This window comes from Homo sapiens, chromosome 14 (assembly GCF_000001405.40).
Source record: "Homo sapiens chromosome 14, GRCh38.p14 Primary Assembly".
Lineage (NCBI taxonomy): Eukaryota > Metazoa > Chordata > Mammalia > Primates > Hominidae > Homo > Homo sapiens.
The window spans coordinates 106709781-106730173 of NC_000014.9; the positions used below are offsets into that span (position 1 = coordinate 106709781).

General features: G+C 43.3%; 1 pseudogene, 2 gene segments (V, D, J or C) and 1 further gene; all 4 read right to left on the reverse strand.

Annotated features, from left to right (window-relative positions):
• Nucleotides 1–20393, reverse strand: part of IGH (immunoglobulin heavy locus) — a 1293408-nt gene that overhangs the window by 1123344 nt on the left and 149671 nt on the right.
• IGHV1-69 (immunoglobulin heavy variable 1-69) lies at nt 4902–5340 on the reverse strand. The segment is given in 2 exon segments: nt 4902–5208; nt 5295–5340. Coding segments are annotated over 2 exon segments (353 nt in total), but the record flags the coding sequence as incomplete, so codon positions are not given.
• On the reverse strand, nt 13794–14237 carry IGHV2-70D (immunoglobulin heavy variable 2-70D). The segment is given in 2 exon segments: nt 13794–14105; nt 14192–14237. Coding segments are annotated over 2 exon segments (358 nt in total), but the record flags the coding sequence as incomplete, so codon positions are not given.
• IGHV3-69-1 (immunoglobulin heavy variable 3-69-1 (pseudogene)) lies at nt 18383–18835 on the reverse strand (annotated as a pseudogene). Its single transcript is given in 2 exon segments — nt 18383–18686; nt 18790–18835. Coding segments are annotated over 2 exon segments (350 nt in total).

Consider the following 20393-nt stretch of genomic DNA (forward strand, 5'->3'; position numbering starts at 1 on the left):
TTCTACCTCTCCTATTTGGGAGTCCTGGCACAACCCAACGTTCTCTAAACCTGGGGGCCACTAAGAACAGAGACAGAAGTTGGAATATTATGAAGTCATTATGAAGTTTTGAGAGATCCGCAATCACTGATGGAGTGATTGGTGAGGGTTGTCTCTATGAGCCTAGGCTTGGAAGAGTGTGGCTCTTTGTTATGATGAGCAAAGAGCTGTTTGTTATGATGAACGGATAGCAAGAAAGACCGTCAAGGAAAATGAAGAAACACGGGAACATGGTCCAAACAGACAGACAACATAGAGGTCCAGAATCTGGCATCAATGAATAAAAAAACATATGGATGTCCTGGCAGAAAATTTGAAGTAAATATTAGAAACATGTTTAATAAGCTAGTGGCAGCATGCAAGAACAAAGTGAGAATTTTAATAGAGATAAAAAAATTTAAAAGAGGACGAAACAAAAATATTTGTGTCGAAGAATACAATAAGTCAGCCAAAATTTTTAACAGAGCACACTGTGGGAGAGGCTCAGGCTTTCCTTTCCCCTAGAGCAGGCAGCCCTGAAATTTCCCTAGACATGAATCACTGTTTCCTCCCGCCCACCTTCCACATTCTCCTCAGAGATGCCCCTGGCTCCGGAGTTCAGCTTCTCACATGTTGTGTGACTTTGGGTTAAAACACACCTGAAACACTGAGTGGCTGTTGTCTTTGATCACTTCATCATCGTCCGCATTTTAGTTGATGCGATTTTTTTACCTCATTTTGAAGAAATGAAAATAAATCAATAGACTAGGCCAGATTTCCTTTTTCTTTCTTTCTTTCTCTTTCTTTCTTCCTTTCTTTCTTTCTTTCTTTCTTTCTTTCTTTCTTTCTTTCTTTCTTTCTTTCTTTCTTTCTTTCTTTCTCTTTCTTTCTTTCTTCTTTCTTTCTTTCTTTCTTTATTTTTCTTTCTCTCTCTCTCTCTTTCTTTCTTTCTTCTTTCTTTCTTTTATGGAGTCTAGCTCTGTCCCCCAGGCTGGAGTTGAAGTGGCACAATCTCGGCTCACTGCAAGCTACGCCTCCCAGGTTCATGCCATTCTCCTGCCTCAGCCTCCCGAGTAGCTGGGACTACAGGCGCCCACCACCACGCCCAGCTAATTTTTTGTATTTTTAGGAGAGATGGAGGTTTCACCATGTTGGCCAGGATGGTCCGGATCTCCTGACCTCGTGATCCGCCCACCTTGGCCCCGCAAAGTGCTGGGATTACAGGCGTGAGCCACCGCGCCCGGCCTAGAGAGATTTTCTTATCTCTCTTTCCCTTGATAGATGTGAATGTAGCCCCAAATATGGTAGGAATCAGTAGACACTGCAGCTCTTACAACACTTTCTTGGTCAGCTGGTCCAACAGTGTGAGCACCACAGTAGCACAATTATTTTATGGGACTAATTCTGTATCCAATGCAGACACATGTTTTTTTATGTACTGGGACCTCCAGTTCATCGCAGGCTGTGATTATGGAGAAGGAAGGAAACATTCTTCAAGGTTCCATCATACATGTGGTAAGAGAATCTCATATTTCTGTCCAGTGGTTTCCAGACCCAGGTGTTGTAGCTCCTGGCCACGGGGCTCTGCAGTGCTCTCTGTTTGGGGGCATTTAAGCATCCTGGAGAATAGTATTATCTCCAAAATGGCCCTTCTTTAGAGATTAAATTTCCTGCTATAAAACAGAGGCATAAACTACCTGCTGTTTATCTCACATCAGACTGTGGAGACCTAAGTCAATGCTTCCATTGTTCTGCTGGGGTCTTTGTTTCTGGGCAAATGTGAAGGAGCAAGAACTGCTGGATCGCAGACTCGTGTTCCCGTGATCACATCTCCTGTCCCTTAACTACAGCTACGTTCTGTCGTGTCAGAACACATTGTGCAGTGTCTCATTCTAGGAATAAGATATTCAGTAACTTGGACAGTGGAACTACCACTAGTAGTTTCTCTATGATTAAAAAAAAAACATGTGGAGATAAAAGTTAATTCTTCTAAGTACAAATTACTACCTATCAGGCTTGGGCTTTAATTTTTTCTAATTGTCTCCATATGACTGGTGGGTATCCTTACAGTGTGAGTTTTTTTTTAGACAAACGTGATCTCTATTGCTGTCAGTTCAGGCACTTGGTAAAAGGTGCTGGCCATTCTGGTTGGAGGTACCTGGGCTCAGTCTTCATTGTACATATTAGGGGAAGCTCTGATATAAACAGAGTGGACGTTGTCACTTATGTAGCAGTATGGATTAAACTGCAGAAGATCATCATACTGTGAGGTCTCCATACCCTTTTACACAGCAGAGTAGATTTCCCTTGCTTTCAGCTGCCTGCTTACTTATATTAAATATTACTGCATGTACTTTTACTTTACCTTATTTTCTATTCTAAGCTATTGCCTACTTATTTAATTAAAGTAAGCAATAGTAAATTTTAAAAATAACAATCAATTACCTGTACAAGTAACATAAAATGGGCGTGATGAATAAGCCACGTAGAGATACCAGAAAACAAAGCTAATAAAGAAACACATTGTGTAAGTTTAGAGTAGTCAGTGAGCACCGAAACCATGAAGAGCTTGTGTTGACATTTACACGAACAAAGTCAGTTATATTTGACATCCAGAAGGCTGGTCACACCCATGAGAGAAATATGTAGAGTGGTCCACCTAACTCAGAAATTAGAAAGTGATAAAGTCACAAACTTACAAAACCAGCAAAAACAACATTCAGTGTATTTAGTATTGAGCTCTGTTTCTTCAGGAAAAGGGATGGGTTATATCTGCATGGAAAATGGGACAAGTATTTTTTAAGCTGATTCTCCTGGGAAGTTGCTAATGAAATCATTCCAGTGATGCTCTGACACAGGATTGTGAAGAGGACGTTGACCCCTGGTGGTCGTTGTCAGCAACACGGATGCTCAACCCTGGTGGGTGCCTTTGTTACCGTTTTGTCCACAAGAGATTTTAGCCTGTCATGTGCTGCATGCAGGTGAGTTTTTAACCCTCAGATGAAAAAAAATAACATGACCACCAAGAAGATGAGGAAATTGAAGACGTCACTTCATCAACCACATTCCACTGATGAGAACTGTTTACACAGAGAGCCAGGGATGAGCTGGGAAGAGGAAGGGGTTGGGGAAGATCATCCATAGAAGGACACATCCAGCCTGCTTGAACTCCCTGTGGAAGGAGGGTTTAAATGTTTGTCTTCAGCTAATCAGGGGTATTTCGAGACCTTCACAAGCTTTCAGAGAGAGTTTTCATGAACAAATATCCATGCATTACTCAGAGTTGTATTTTTTCATATTTATTCTTCTTCTCTAGGCAGCTCCACAGAAGGGTGTTCTCAGAATTCTCCCTGATCTTCCTTGAGGTCCTGATGCAGCTCCTGGAGGAAAAGCCTGCATGGGGGAGGGAGCCCTCCTCATGTGCAGCCCTGAGGCTGTCCCATCACCTCACCCACCACTGCCCTTCAGTCAATTGGTGAACATTTCTGAGCTAATCTTCCTGAAACGTGTGGCTTTGGGCAGTATGTTCACCAGGTTACAAAATACTTAAGCTCTGTCTATTTCCACAGGCACGTATTCCTTTCCGGAGCACAGGTTGGTCTTGAGTGTGTGGTAGTGGATAATTAGTGAGAGCAGGTTTGTGCGCATCTTGTCATCTCCCAAAGTGCACCCTCTATGGAGTTGACACCCACAAACAAGCAGATGGACTTGCTCAGCTGGAGGATGACAAACATTTTCATAACCTATGACCTCAGTGGTGCTCTTTATCTGCAAGACCAATCATGATCATGCCTCTGGCTAATGTGCACTCATCAAGGGCAAGCAGTGCCCACCTCTGTGAGGGCTGCTTCAGGTGCACACTCCCTTTGCAGAGGGAAGCTTTTGTTCCTACCTGGGTCCCATGAATGTGTTTGCATTTGCTGCACAAACCACCTTACTCAGACTCACCACCCAAGAGCTCACAGTGCACCTAATCCAACTCTAGGGCATTATACATGGAATCTCTCATTGCCAGGGTCTCCAATTCCAATGAAAGGATGTTCATTATGGGATTCCCCAGAACTTTCTGGTCTTTTAGAGACATGAACTGGCCTCTAAAAGCTTAAAAATCTTACTCTCTGGGAAGGAGCATTGTAAACCAGAAGTAAGATAAGCTCTAAATTAATATATATTTTGTGGATTTTGGAAGAAAGAGTTCAAATAGTAATAGCCTTACCCACTTTCCCTCTGACTAATATCAGTTCTAGAAAACACTGAAAAAACCGTGGAATCTTGAGATACTTAGGCTTGTTATATTAGGAGATCACCAGAAAAAGAAAGAACCAAGCGTCCTTGGAGATTCCTCCATTGTAACTGATTTGTGACTGCGGTGCAGGATGGTCGTAGTGGAGGAGGCTGTGCCTGTGTAGGGCAGGGAGTCATGGGAATTCTCACGCCTCCTGTGCAATTTCTTTGTAATCCTAAAACTGCTGTAAAATAAACTTTATGATAAGGAGTGACAGAAACATTTGAAGGAAACTTTTGGCACTTTTTAAGAATCATTCTTAGTCTCACCACATGATCAAATAACCTTGCTCCAAATCATGTATTCATCCAATTTGAAAACTTGTTCACAGTAGCACCTTCATGGAATGTTTGTATCAACGTTATAGAGTGTGGCCTTTTCCACTCTGTGAATTTGGCTTATATTACGACTCTTGAATGGAATATTTATCTTAAAATTAGAGTATGTACTTGTTTCTACTGTTCTTTTTTTCTCAAATATATAACCCATTTTGTAAACAGCCTTAAACCTAATAACCCCTGTCATCTCCTCAGCCCGGCACAGCTGCCTTCTCCCTCAGGGTTTCTGACACTCTCAGGATGTGGGTTTTCACACTGTGTCTCTCGCACAGTAATACACGGCCGTGTCCTCAGATCTCAGGCTGCTCAGCTCCATGTAGGCTGTGCTCGTGGATTTGTCCGCGGTAATCGTGACTCTGCCCTGGAACTTCTGTGCGTAGTTTGCTGTACCAAAGATAGGGATGATCCCTCCCATCCACTCAAGCCCTTGTCCAGGGGCCTGTCGCACCCAGCTGATAGCATAGCTGCTGAAGGTGCCTCCAGAAGCCTTGCAGGAGACCTTCACCGAGGACCCAGGCTTCTTCACCTCAGCCCCAGACTGCACCAGCTGCACCTGGGACTGGACACCTGTGGAGAGGACACAGGGGTGAATAAAATCCTCTTTAACTAAACCAGGATCCCTTCCTCAGCCTTAGGACTAGGAAGCCCCTTACCTGTAGCTGCTGCCACCACAAAGAGGAACCTCCAGGTCCAGTCCATGGTGATGAGCTGTGCTCCCAGGGGCTTCTTCAGAGGAGGAATGTGGTTGTTATGTGATGCTCTCAGGGCACCAATATATCTATATTTATCTCAGAAGACCTCAGGTTATTTGCATATGCATGAGGCAGGGTATTTCACAGCTCAAAGCCTGATCTAGGATGAGAAAGAAAACACAGATGCCACATCAGCTGTACAAGTGTGGGATGCTGAGAGACCAAGCCCTAAATCCTGCCTGAGGAAAAGCATCTCTTGCCCCATTTCTAAGCTTTCTGTGCACAGCGCTCTTCCCGCTGCAGAACAAACCCCAACCCCAGGATGCACTCCTCACTGTGAACCCACATTTTATTGGCCTAAAGATTACCTGGGTTTTTTGTGGGACCATTGCTGTCTCTGACATTGAGCAGGCACCTAGACCCATCCTGGTCCCATTAGGAACACTCAGAGCTCACTGGTAACACTGAAAAGGTGGCCACTCGTTACCCTACATGAGTGTCCAGCAGGACCCATGGAGAGTTCTGAGATCTGCTGGGCACTCCCAAGACAGGGTCCCCAGCACTTTCCTGAGGGTCCTGACCTCCCAGGTCCTTCAGTGGAAAGACTCTTGGTTGACAGATTTGCCGTCTGATGTGTGATTGGTTCTGAGACTTCCCTCCCATTGACAGTAGGAATCAGGGGTTGAAATAGAAATAGGAATTTGAGTTTCTTGGTGAACTCATAGCTCCCAAAATAATTACCAAGTAATTTGTATTTTGAATAAGTTTGTGTTTTATTTCAAACTGCATTAAATAGAATTATTTGAAGTATTTACATGGTTTTAGATCATATCCATAGATCATCATCTTTACATGCTGATTTCTGTTCTGCTTGGTCTGGGCACTTATCACACTCTTCAATCCACTGCTTCCAAGTCACAAGCACAATGTAGGAAACATTACTTATCTCTGAAGTCTGAATACCTTCTTCATAGGAATATAGTATCTCCCACAGTTATGTGCCCATTGAGTTAAAAAAAAACCATCCATATCCTTCATATTCTCACTATTCAGATATTTATTATCCTAGAACCCCCCTTGTAAATATAGCTTTCATTGCTTTTTGAGTGATATAAGTGGCCCAGTTTCCATATCCTTCATATTCTCACTATTCAGGTATTTATTATCCTAGAACCCCCCTTATAAATATAGCTCTCATTCCTTTTTGAGTGATATAAGTGGCCCAGTTTCCATATCCTTCATATTCTCACTATTCAGGTATTTATTATCCTAGAACCCCCCTTAGAAATATAGCTCTCATTGCTTTTTGAGTGATGTAAGTGGCCCAGATGAAATAGAATATTTAGATGAGTATCAGCAACTTGCTGAACACTTAATTTAGAATGACTTGTTGAATAAGGAAGACTCAGGCCCTGGAAGAATATTTGCTTTTATTTATCTCCAACAAATAAGGGAGAATATATAATATCTGGTTTTCTGTTCCTGAATTAGTTTTCTAAGAGTATTGACTGCCAGTTCCATCATGTTCCTACAAAGGACATAGTTTCATTCTTTCCTTAGCTGCATAGTATTCCATGGTTGTATGTACCACATTTTTCTCTATCATTCTGCCAGTGATGGGGATTTAGGTAAATTCCATGTCTATGCTATTGTGGATAGTGCTGCAGTGAACCTACATGTTTATATTCCTTTAGGTATATGTCCAGTTGTAGGATTGTTGGGTCAAATGAAACTTCTGTTTTAGGTTATTGGAGGGATCACCACACTGCTTTCCACAATGGTTGAACTCATTTATATTCCCGCCAAAAGTGTATAAATTTCCCCTTTTTTCTGTAACCTTAAAAATCTGTTATTTTTTTTTTAAGATTAGCCATCCTGACTGATGTGAGACGGTACCTCATTGAGGTTTTGATATGTATTTCTCTAATGATAGTGATATTCAGCATTTTTTCCTATGCTTGTTGGCCACATGTAGGTCTTTTTTGAAGTGTCTTTTCATGTCCTTTGGTCACTTTTTATTTCTTGTATGTTTGTTAAATTTCCATGTATATACTAAGTGTCGGACCTTTGTCAGATGTATAGGCTGCAAATATTTTATTTCCCATTCTGTAGGTTGCCTGTTTACTCTGTCGATAGTGTCTTTTGCTGTACAGAAGTTCTTTAATTTACTTAGGTCCCATTTGTCAATTTTCAATTTTGTTGCAACTACTTCTAGCATTTTCATTATAAAACCTTTGTCAGTTCTTACCTCCTAAATTCTGTTTCCTATGTTATTATCCAGAGGTTTTATAGTGTTAGGTTTTACATTTTGATCTTTAATCCACATATAACTTTTTTCAATTGATGCTGAAAACGCATTTGATGAAACAACATCCTTTCACAAAAAAAACATAAAAAATGGGTATAGAAAGAACCCATCTCGACAAAATAAAAGTTACATTCGAGAGACTTTCAGGTAGTATCAGGTTGAATGAGAAATAACTAAAAATCTTTTCTCTAAGATCTGGAACACGCCAAGTTTCCCACTTTAATCACCAGTAAAGCATAAACCCTTCTGCTGCCACCATAGCCGGCTCTTACCTGCGAGCACCACCTACTGGCCTGACGTTCAAACTGCATGACCTCATACAAACTCAATACCACCAGTGTACAGCAGTTGAAAATGAGATTAGCTTCTCATTACTTCGGTGATTCCAACCCCGCAAAAGACCACGGGCCTGCTCACATACCCAGTATATTACTACTACAACGGGAATTTGAAACAGCCACCACACTAAAGCTCTTAATAACAAAAGAAACCACACTGAGTAGATGCCGCTCAGCTCGCCATTTCCATCAAGGCTGGCGCTTTTGCTTGCCAGGCTCGGTGGCTCATGTGTGTCCAGCTTGGTCCACCTCTCAGGGGCTGAGCAGGGAACTCAGGTCACTGTGCATTTCATAGACCAGTCCATCGCCTGAGGCAACAGAGAGCTTCTCCCTGTGCACAGATATCAAGCATGCACTCAACTGCTTCTACCAGAGTCAGCTCTAATCTGTAAGGACATCTACTAATGTGGAGGGTGAACTTAACAACCCAACACAAAATCTGCTGAAACAAAGGCATTCCAAATGAGAAACAGTTCCTGAGGCCTCCACTATCTAGGACCTGCAGGGGGCAGTGAGCCTACTCACAAGTCCAGTACTTTGGTACTAAAACCACCATTTCAGAAAGCCACTAAATAATGGCTATCTATAGACAAGGAACTCTTACAGAGTCTTTGCCACTAAGTAAACCAAGAACCAAAATCAAAATACCCACACAATGTACATTATATTCACATTCTAAAGGGAATTAAATATTCATCAAAATCAGAATGAATTAAAAAATAAGAAGAAGCGATAGTTTAGCTAATGAAAAGCAAACAGATAAGCAATTCAGGAAGTATGAAAAAACAGAGTTACAAAACCCCAAATATCACCTTAACTCTCCAGCAATAGAATCTAAACAACATGACATATTTGAAACGTCTGATAAATAATTCAAAATGTTGATTTTAAAGAAGCTCAATTAAACCTTTTTCTCTAGTGGCTCAGTAAGCACCGGCACTGAGACAAGCACTATGAAGACAATTGCAGCCCACCCCCTGATGAACTGACCCCTGTTCCACAAACCATAACCCCAGCTTTGATTGAACACTACAGTGATATCAGGAACTTTCTCCTAATCCGAGACCGCTGACCATGGCCTGGCTCTGGCCGTTCACAGAGGCTGCACCCTGAGTACCTTTGTGTCTCTGCTTCTGCTGTTTGCACATAGGGCCTGACTGGAATGAATTTAAATGCTAAGTCTCCACTGGTAAGTGAACAGGGGTCATACGTTACAGACATGTTTGTTCAGTATGCATGTGTGAGGACCACCTCCATGAACATCAGTAGCCCCTCCTGTAACCTGTTGATTATGTCTCTTTAGCCAAACCCTTCAGCATAAAGCTTCTGCCCAACCCCTTCTTCGTAGGAGTGCCTTTTTCTCGTCTTTACCAAGAGCTATGCTTTTCAGCACATGGGTGGACTCTTATCTCTCTTTTTCACTCATTTTCTTAAGCTGCTAGGGAGAATAAAGTGTCAGGTCCTATTTTTGGTGCCTTGATGCTGATGAATTAAGGTTTATTCTCCCTCATCCTTGTCCCCCACACATGGGAAATCTAGTAAGAAATCATGGAAGCTCCCTCATGTGATGTCAGTGTGAGGTTTAAATCACACAAGCTCCTTCTCCTGAGTAGAAACGCCCCCCCCCCCCCCGCCGACCCCACCACCAAATCATTATAAAGCCCTGAGCCAGCCTCCTTTCCTGCTCTACTGAGGAAATTCCAATCTGTAATTTCTTGAGAGGACTGTGCTGCTCTCAGCAGACACCTCAGAAATAGAGCTAATAAATCTTTTCATATTCACCTGGAGTGTGAGTGTGGAAACATCAAACTCGACATCCACACTAACCATTGGTGGGGTCTCTCTTCCTTTGCCTGGCATCACCTACAATTGGAACTGTGGGATTGGAGTCCTGACAATGACCACCACGGGGGCTTTCTTCTCTTGCACTGGATGCTAACTCCTTCTGCCCCAATGCCCAGCATGCTCATTATCCTGGCTGCTGCTGGCTGGCCTTTGGAGTTCTGTTGAGCTGGGCTGCAATGCTGAGTTAAACACTGCACCTTTATAGATTTAGCTGATTAACTTCAGAAGCATTGATAACTTATTGACATTGAGAAACAGGAGTAAGTGACTGTAGGTGACTCTGCCTTTGGTGCATGTGAGAAAGTTTTTCTCTTGTTACGACAAATGTTTCTTCTTCAGAGACTTCACAGGAAGAACAGGATAAGGAATCCAGAGATATGCCACAAAGGAAACTGTTTCATGGAGAGGAAGCCACAGGGCTGACAGGAAACCAGACCTTAAACCCCATCTGCACCTGCCCTGAGGTTGGCTCTTGTGCTCAGTGGGTCCTGTGCGCCCCCAAGTGGTCCTGTGCCCACTTCAGGGAGGCTTGTTTCTAGGCTCACACTGACATTTTTTCTAATTGTTTTCACAAAAATGGAGACAGAGTAAATGGTGAATCCATGCATCTCAGAGAACACAGAACAGCAGAATAACACCCCATGCTCCCCCCACACACATTTAGGTAAATCTTATTAAAATTGTTGAAAACCAAAGACAAATAGAAATACAGGCAGACAAGTGGAGGTGAGTAGAGGGGGCATTCCTTCCAAAAGAACAGAAAAGACCATGACAGCATTCTTCTGGTTAAAACCTTATAAGCAAGAAGAAAATTGATGGTGTCTGTAAAGTGTTGGAAGAAAAGCCAGCCCATTATTTGATAACCCATGGATGTTCGCTATGAAGTGAAAAAAAAAACAGTTCTATTTCTCTTTGACAGCATGAGGGGCTCAATGAATCCATGCCCTCATGAGACCAGTGAAAATTATTTTGGGAAATTACAGGTTTGGAAAGACTCTAACAGCACACAGTGAGTGAAGAAACATTTATTCAGGAAAATCTAGAAAACTCAGTAAGGCCAGTCATCATATTTGATCTAAGATGCTCTTCCTTCCTTCCACATCCCAGCTCAGCATGATGTAAACTCCACTGCGGACAGATGCAGCCAAGAAGACAGGACACCTTCTACCAACTCCCACCAGAGGAAACGCTTTCCCAGGGGCCAGTACGTTGGCCCTCTGACCCTGCACACAGCACATGATGCTGAGGTTCAGTGCTGGACGAGAGCTACTGAGAGCCAGAGACTCACTTCTTCCATAGAGCCCCACTCGTGGATGGAGGCTCTGCCCTGGGTCCAGTGCCACTGGGAACATTCAGTCCGCGGTTTCTAGCTCTGCCCTATGGCACCGATTCCGCCCCACCAGAACCAAAGTGCTGGGATGGTGGGAAGCTTCTGCCCAACCCTCCAATTAGCGCTCATCTCCTAGGCTGAGGAAGAAAAAAGCTCAACTTCGTCTCCACCTGCAGAAACTTGGTTATGCACTCTGTCCCAGGAGAGAAGGGGCACTGGAATTCAGTCATAAAATATGATCCTTAAGTTGGTCCTAAACATCCTAACTTCAATAACAACAGAATGCGGAAAAGTTCAAAGCCTGCCTGTGATCTCAGAAACAGTGGAGGGTGTGGGGGAAGGTGCTTGGAGGGAGATGGGTGGATGCATGGGAGATGCAGACTAAACTGCAGGGCTGCTGGCTTGCAGGAGAGAACCGAGGAGGGGGGAGAGCTGAGGGACGTTCTCTTGTGGTTGGAACAAATGCCGGACGCTGTTCAAAGGAGCCCGTGTTTGTGTCGTTCAGTCTGTGAAGTAGTTGAAACCTCACTGCATGGTTGAAAATAGGATTTTCCATCTGCAAGTGGTGGAGCTCAACATCTGGGTCTGGTCAGGAAAGAGACACAGAAAGTCCAGCCCAAACCACTGACACCTGAGGATGACCGTGGTGCTTACAGCTGTGTCCCTTTGATCTTTGAGACTGGCTTCTCTCACTTAGCACAATGTCTGGAGTTCACCTGCAATGGTTTATGTATTGGTCACTTGTTTTTTTTTTTATTGCTGGTGGTATTCAATTTATAGATGCTTCCTAGTTCTTCACCTATTCAAATTTTGAGACATTTATGTTATTTTTACTTTCTAACACACATACACACGATATCTTGAATATTTGAATAGAAGTTATGCGTGAATGTAAGATTGTTTTTCTCTGATGCAAATATTCAGGTGTTAAGGGTATGTTTGATTTTAGAGAAAACTAAAAATTATTTTCCTGAGTATCTGTTTCATTTTGCATTCCCGTTAGCAATGTTTTAGCCTCTAGCAACCTGGTATGCTCACCAGCATTGATGTTATCTGTATTTCTTCTTAATTTCAGCCATTTTGAAAAGTGTACAGTGGTGTCTCTTTGTGGGCTTGATTTGAATTTCTCTAATGGAAAATCCTGTTGAGAGCCTGTTTATATGCTTCAGTGTCATCTGCACATCTTCTCTGACGAAATGTCTGTAGAAACCCTTGCCTAATTTATCCATCAGTTGTTTCTTTTTTATTCACAGTTGAGTTCTGAAGGTTCTTATTATAATTACATTGGTGGTTATATGACTCGCAAACAGTTTCTCATCTGTAACCGGGCATTCATTTTCTTACAGTCACTTGAGTAGAAAAAGTTTTTAAATTTAATGAGGTCAACTAATATCAAGTTCATTTATTGATCATATTCTACATTTTAATTTTAAGATCATTGGTCAATTCTTAATTATTTTATATTGTGCCTGTTATGTAATGACTCATCATGCTCCCACCTTCTGCCCACCCATCCTTCTAAGTCTCCAATGTGTATAATTTCTCTCTACAAATCCTTGTGTACACACTGTTTACCTCCCACTTACAAGTAATAACATGTGACATGTGACATTCTGTTTGTGAGTTAGTTCACTAATTGTATTGTCCCCCACTTCTATGCATCTTGCTGCAAAAGACACAGTTTCATTCCTTATTGTGACTGACTAGTATTGAATTGTGCATACGTGCTATATTCTTTTATAAAATCATTTGTTGGCAGACACTCAGTTTGACATATGTGCTATTGAGAGTAGTTTTATGGTAAGCATAGAAGGTGGGTATCTTTTTGAAATAATAGTTTATTTTCCTTTGGGTAGTTACCCAGTAGTGGGATTGCTGGACCAAATGGCAGTTCTATTTCTAGTTTTCTGGGAAATCTCCATACCATTTTCCACAGAGGTTGTACTCGTCTACATCCTCATCAACAATGTCTAAGAGTTGCCTTTATTTCCCATCCTCAGCAACATCTGATATTATTTGAGTTTTTAGTAACAGTCATTGTGACTGGTGGAAGATGATATCTTATTGTGGTTTTAATTTGCATTTCCCTGATGGTTAGTGATGTTGAGCATTGTTTATATATTTATTATCCATTTCTATGTGTTCTTTTGAAAATGTCTACTCATGTTCTTTGCTCATTTTAATGGGGTTATTTGGTTCTCGTTGCTGTTGTTGTTGTAGAGTTGTTTGAGTTCCTTGCAAATTCTTCATATTAGTTCCCTGTCACAGACAAAGTGTGCAAAAGTTTTCTGTCATTCTGCAAATTGTGTATTCACTCTGTTGTTGTGAAAAAAATTATTTAGGTTAATTAAGTCTCATCTGTCTATTTTTTTTTAGGTAACAGGAACCTTTCATGCTGAATCTTTGTCAAACAGGATACAGCTTCTGCTTGCACGAACCACTAACAGGGGACATGCCATTTATTAGTAAAGAAGAGGGAGGAAAACAAGGCTCTGAGTCAGATGGGGATGGGAAACGCAGGCCCTGGCAGGAAATGGCATCTCAGCCACACTATCCTGTTCTGCAGAGGTGGGGAGGGAGCACCACTGAGAAGCAGCCTGGGTTCTTGTACAGGAGGCGCCCTGGGCTGTGTCTCTGTGGTATCCGTGCACAGTAATACGTGGCTGTGTCCACAGGGTCCATGTTGGTCATTGTAAGGACCACCTGGTTTTTGGAGGTGTCCTTGGAGATGGTGAGCCTGGTCTTCAGAGATGTGCTGTAGAATTTATCATCATCCCAATCAATGCGTGCAAGCCACTCCAGGGCCTTCCCTGGGGGCTGACGGATCCAGCTCACACGCATTCCACTAGTGCTGAGTGAGAACCCAGAGAAGGTGCAGGTCAGTGTGAGGGTCTGTGTGGGTTTCACCAGCGCAGGACCAGACTCCTTCAAGGTGACCTGGGATAAGACCCCTGTGGAGAAGACATAAGAAGATGAAGCCCACAAAGGAGAGAATAGATTTTTTGCTTCTGAAGTACTACCTGACCACAGCACTCACAGGACGGGACAGTCAGTAGCAGGAGCGTGGAACAAAGTATGTCCATGGTGGAGAGCAGGATTCACTGAGCGAGGCCCTGTCCTCGTCTTTTGAACCCAGGGGAGGGTGGAGCTGGTGGAGATTTGCATCCCCTCATCTGAGCCCTACTCTATGGGGTGCACTCAGGTCTCAGGACTCAGTAGGGGAGTGCATCTGTGGTGAGGAGCAGTGAGCCCTCAGGTGTGGGGGTCCACGTGTGCTCTCCATCAGGGAATCTATCTCATTTCAGCACCATGGCTCTCAGTCAAGTCTTGACGCTCCTGCTTCTACAGACAGGATCTTCTTCGATGCTCCCGCACTGGACATGCAACCTTCTGGTTTTAGTCCTAGAGGATTAGAGTAGAAATCAAGAGAGCTGCCGTTCCTCCTCCCTTCAAGAGTAGTGATGTTGGGCATCTGGCAGGCAAGGGGCTCCCCACAAGCATTCTGATCAAAATCCTCTTTGATTATGGGGAAAAGTGATGAATTTGTGTAAAAAAATTGGAGAGAATAAATAAGAAAATACAGTTACAAGTAATTATGTAAAGAAGTGTGTGCTTAGCAGTGTGTGTGCACACAGCTGCATTCCTAGAGGCATGTTCCATGAAAAATCGATGTTGTCCTTGTGCCCCGTCAGTTCTGTGGAGAGAGTAGACTGCATGAATGACTTCCCTTTTCTCAGCCCATGAATGAGCGGATGCTTTGGACAAGGGAATTGGAAGACTCCTGAGGGAGCAGCAGGCTGACTGTTGCAGCCTTGCTCTGCACCTGCACTGGATGTGGTCTCTGTGCTCATGAGGCCATGGAAACTCATCAATCCAGGTTCAAGAAGTTAACTGCAGAGTTATATTCATTTGTGTTTTCCTTTGTAACAAGAAAGTTCTGAGTTACAGATGATATAGTGGGTGGTCTCCTTAGGGTTGGATGCTGTGAAGCAAAAGAAGACAACCCTAGATTGTAGTCAGAGGTTCTCTGGCTGGTTCCTTGATGCACCTGCTCCTAAATGGGGCTCTGTCTTGGCTGAGTTCTGAGTTTCTTCTGCTTGTCCTCTGCTGCCCATACAGCCCAGATAAAGGAGGGCCAGGGGATCTGCTTCTGAGATGCCCAGTCCTATGTCTGGCTCCAAGCCAGGAGCTCAGCCAGTCCTGGGGGCTGAACCTTGGATCTCTCCTGTGAGACCTCACCTGTGCACTGAGCATCCTCACACCTCACAGCAAGGTGGCAAGGTCAGCTTCACAGAAATTACTGTAGACAATTTTCAGCAAATCTAATTGCAGTTCGACTATATAATTAAGGAATCATTTTTACTGGGGTGTAAGTGACTGACATGTCCCCCCCCACACACACACGCACACACACATAAACAGTATGGACATTAATTTACATTTCCCAAAAACTGGACACATTTTTAATTATTCCTGATGAATTCACAAAATTCTGAGGTTTGAATCAGAAACTAAAATGTAACATTTTCTATAACCAAACTTACAAATGAATAAGATGGGGTCAGAAAAATCAAGATTGAGTTATTACCTGCAGTCTAATGGTGGTAAGTTACATAATGGAGCTGTGATGAGACAGGCTTCCAGGTGCTCTAATTCTTAACCCCTCAATTACAGCTGACCAGCAATCTCTGAGAGTGAGGAAGCTAGAGGTTCCCCACACGGGAAAGCTCTCTGACTCCATAAAACTTCTCTGGGCTTCTCTGCAGGCTCAGAGGTGTGCAGACTCCTACCCCAGATTCTGCAGTCAGGCAAATCCCTGCTCTTTCCCGGGGACACAAGAGATAGTGTGGATAAGGGCCAGATGTGCTCTACTCAAGGTCTCTGCACATGGGGAAAAACCAGTGAAAGTGGAAAATGGATGTTCTTGATTCTTGGAACAATTCCCATGAAAAACTCAACTCTGCACCAGGACCTCATGCACAATTATAAACAAATGTAATTAAAATAAATGTGAAAATTACAATTGTTTGCAGGTGCACATTTGTTCATATATTTTTCCAAAAAGTAAAGTAAAAGCAGGTGTTCTCTATAAAAATCCAAAAACAGCGTGTTGGCCCTGAGAATGCACGTCCCTCCCTCCTCCTACAGGCAGCAAAATGCAGGTGGGTCAGGTTCCCAGCAGCTGCTTTCTGACATCTGTGGCATGGCAGGTGCTGAGGCCCATGTCCTGTGGTCTACTCTAATGAAAGGAGTGACTCTGCAGGGATTCCTAAGCAGAGCCATTATTTCTGGGAGTCATGGGGATCCCCTGAGAGGCAGCACTGACTTGCACAAGACTCAATTATATTTTGCACCTTCCTTGCACAGCACAGAAATATAGGGACCTTCCACCCAATCCAGCTTCCCTCTCTCTTTCACTCAGGGACAGGCTTCCACCATGTGCCATCAGCTTCCCAGCCTCATTCCACCCCCTGTGCATTTTCTCTCAAAGGGATGAATGTATTTCTCACAACGGATGGATTATTCATGAGTCCCCTGGGCAATTCCCGAAGCTGAGGTTTCCTCCCTCCTTTGTACACCATCTAGGGAACCTGCCTGATGTTGCCATGGCATGTGTAAACCATCATGGCGCTGAAGGGAGTGGCTTTCAGCATGTTAAGGCATTATAATGAGCAGTGAGGATGAACAGAAATCACTTTTGTTGCCATCTTGGTTTTGGTGGGCTTTGCCCAGCTTCTTTACTGTAACCTTTACCAGCAAGGTCTTTATAACCTGGATCGTGTGCAGACCTCCTATCTCATCCTGTGACTAAGGATGCCTTAGCTTACTGGAAATGTAGCCCAGCAGGTCTCAGTCTTATTTTTTCTAGCCCTTATTCAAGATGAAGTTGCTCTTGTTCAAAAGCTTCTGACACGAAAAATGTAGAAAGGTATTTGTAATATGAGCATGACTGTATTGCCAAATATAAAATAAAACATAATAATGGCAACAATTTTCCCTGCCACCTTGACTAGACCACAGTCTCACCTACTCAATCACACACTAGCCTAGGTGTTGCTCCCATGGCATAATGCAGGTCTTAGTAGAGCCTGCCACTAATTTTGCCCAAGTCACGAAGAGTGTTCTAGATAACCTAGGTGGGCCTGATTCAATCAGAGCATAACAGAAGACGATGGGACTCCATGCTGGACGGCAGATGCAGGTTTTCCTAGGAATCCCAGCCTGCCTTTCCCGAAGGCCAGCAGTATTGACCTTAGGCTGCCTAGCCAGACCCTATAATTACTATTACCAGAGCTCACAGCACAATGGAGTGTCCATCCTCAGCTCTCCTAAAGTCACAGGGGAGAGCATAAATTCTGTGACAGTGTGAGAAGCACAAGATCAGCTCTACATCCACATCCCTTTGGAGAAAACTAGTATTATTCCCTTCATGACTAATGTTCATTTCGTTTTCCAAACACCTCCACACACAAAATACAGCAGGAGTGTCATCAGCCTATGGTGAGTGAGAAAGTCCCCTCAGCCTACCCAGGTCCTGCAGACCTGATCTCTGGGATTTTGACTACAGAAAACACATCCTCTGTTTTCAGGAAAGAGAAGAAGAAAGGGAACTGTGAGAATCAAGTATGCAGAGAAGGAAAATGGATTAGCAGAAAGGGGGTCAAGTGAATCAGTCTGAGTCATATGTACACAGTTTTACAAGACCAGGGGGGATTGCTGTGAAAACCACAAGGTTTTAAGGACTCTGACCCTGGGTGAGCGTCTCTCTTGGCTCCTATCAGAACTCAAAGCCTGTTCTAATCAGAGATTCCTGTGGAGGTCGCTGCCCTGAGTCTAACTGGCAAACACTCTTCGGGTTCCCCTGAGATTCCTCGGAACTTTCATCCTGCTGACCACAGAAGGATCATCTGCCCCCAAAGTGACACTGTGGCTTCTGTGGAGGTGAGGGTGTGTCCTCCTGTTACAAAAACAAAAATACAAAAAGAACAAAAAAGTTTTGCATTTAGAGACATGAAATGTCAGTACAGAATTGTAAATCTGGAGAAGTTCCCTGGAGAAATTTGACAACGAGGCCGCCCAGGCCATGACAGGGAAGCCAGGCCTCAGCAGCACCTGCACCTGCCCTGGAGACAGCCCCGTGCACAGTGTCCCGGGCGCCCCCTGGTGGTCCTGGGGACCCCTGCAGGGAGGTTTGTGTCTGGGCTCACACTGACTTCCCCTCACTGTGTCTCTCGCACAGTAATACACAGCCGTGTCCTCGGCTCTCAGGCTGTTCATTTGCAGATACAGTGAGTTCTTGGCGTTGTCTCTGGAGATGGTGAATCGGCCCTTCACAGAGTCTGCGTAGTATATGGTACTACTACTACTAATGGATGAGACCCACTCCAGCCCCTTCCCTGGAGCCTGGCGGACCCAGTTCATGTAGTAGTCACTGAAGGTGAATCCAGAGGCTGCACAGGAGAGTCTCAGGGACCCCCCAGGCTTTACCAAGCCTCCCCCAGACTCCACCAGCTGCACCTCACACTGGACACCTGCAAACAAAGAGACAACCTGGTCAGAAACTTCCACACAAATCCACTGTTTATCTCACTCTTATCCACTCACACTCAATTTTTCTATTTCTCCATGAATTACCTTTTAAAATAGCCACAAGAAAAAGCCAGCTCAGCCATGACTCCTTGGTGGTCCTCTGTGTTCAGTCCTGATCACCAAATGAAAACACCTGAAAATCCCAGGGCTGGGGCTCCTGTCCCAGAGCTGCAGGGTCAGGGCTGGGCTGGTTTTCATAAGCAGAGGGAGGGCTCTATTTCCATGTCTCCTACTATATAGTAAGCTCTCTGGTTAGAGGCCTTTGGAGAGAGTGGGGCTCAGAGCACGTGACAGTGTCCTGGGGAGATTTGTGATATTGATAGCATTTGGGAAATTGTGGTTTCTTATGGTAAATCTGCTCTGTGATAAAACCTTAAAACCTATAAATCTTATAATTTTGTAATTTTTATTTTAAAACAGTTCTATTGAGGTACAGTAGATCAACAGAAAGTGCATATGTTTAAAGTTAGAACAAATCATCTTTTATTTTTTCATATGCAGTGAAACCATGGTATGTAGTATCAATGTTATTTCCATGTAACAGATGAAAAATTACCAGCAAAATCACAGATCGGTTGTTCAATCTCCCTAGAGTTCACATTTGGTCAGGGTGACCTGGGTATCTGGGCCTGTGCTTCTCACCACCGAGCCTGACTGCTCCCTGAACTAAGCACAGCACACAGGGCGTCGCACCTACTGAGGTTTGCAGAACCTTTTCTCTGTAACAAGAATATGGTGTGATGTGTACGCACTGTTGTGATTACCTAACAAATGTGAAGAAAAGCACGTTTCCTACAGTTTTATTTTCTTGAGTGTCATACATTTCTCATGTCAGTGTCTGTCTTTCCATCAATCTTTATCTAACAAATTATCTATTCACTTATTTCTGATACCCTTATTGAGGCATTATTGCTGTATAATAAATATTGCATAATTAAAGTGTGCAGTGTAGTAAGCACTGAAGCTGAGCATGGTGGTGCATACATAGGGCAGAGGGAGGAGGATTGCTGGAGACCCAGGGTCTGAGGCTGCAGAGAGCTGTGATCTCACCACTGAGCTCCAGCCTGGATGACAAAGCAAGACCATGTCTCCAAAGGGAAAAAAAAAATGTAATTTCTCATGTGCTCACCTGTGCATCCAAAATACAATAAAAACAACGATGAATTACACTTAAAAGCTTCCTTGTGTTCCTCTCATTCCTGCCTCCCAGTCATTTCCCTCTCACCATACTGAGTCAACCTCTCATCTTTGTTAATTCAGATCTATTTTTCGAGATTTTGTTAAAGTGAAATCTTACATTTTCAATTTCATTTGTGTGGCTTCTTGCACAGCATAATTACTTGTGAGTCAGTAATTTGGTTGTGTATAAAGAATGTGTTGATTCTGATGAGGAAGAGCATTCCAGTTTAAGACAGCAACCATAGTATTTATTTAGAAATCTCCTTAATATTTGCATAATTTCCAGTTTCTGAGTATTACAAATAAAGCTTCTACTCAGCTGGGAGATGTAGGCATCCCATAAAATATATTATTTTTACAACAACAATTAACTTTACTGACATGCAAATTAACACATTTTCTTTAATAAATCAGATTATTGATGTTATAGGACAATCAAGAGACCTTACATCTTGAGAAAATCAGTGACT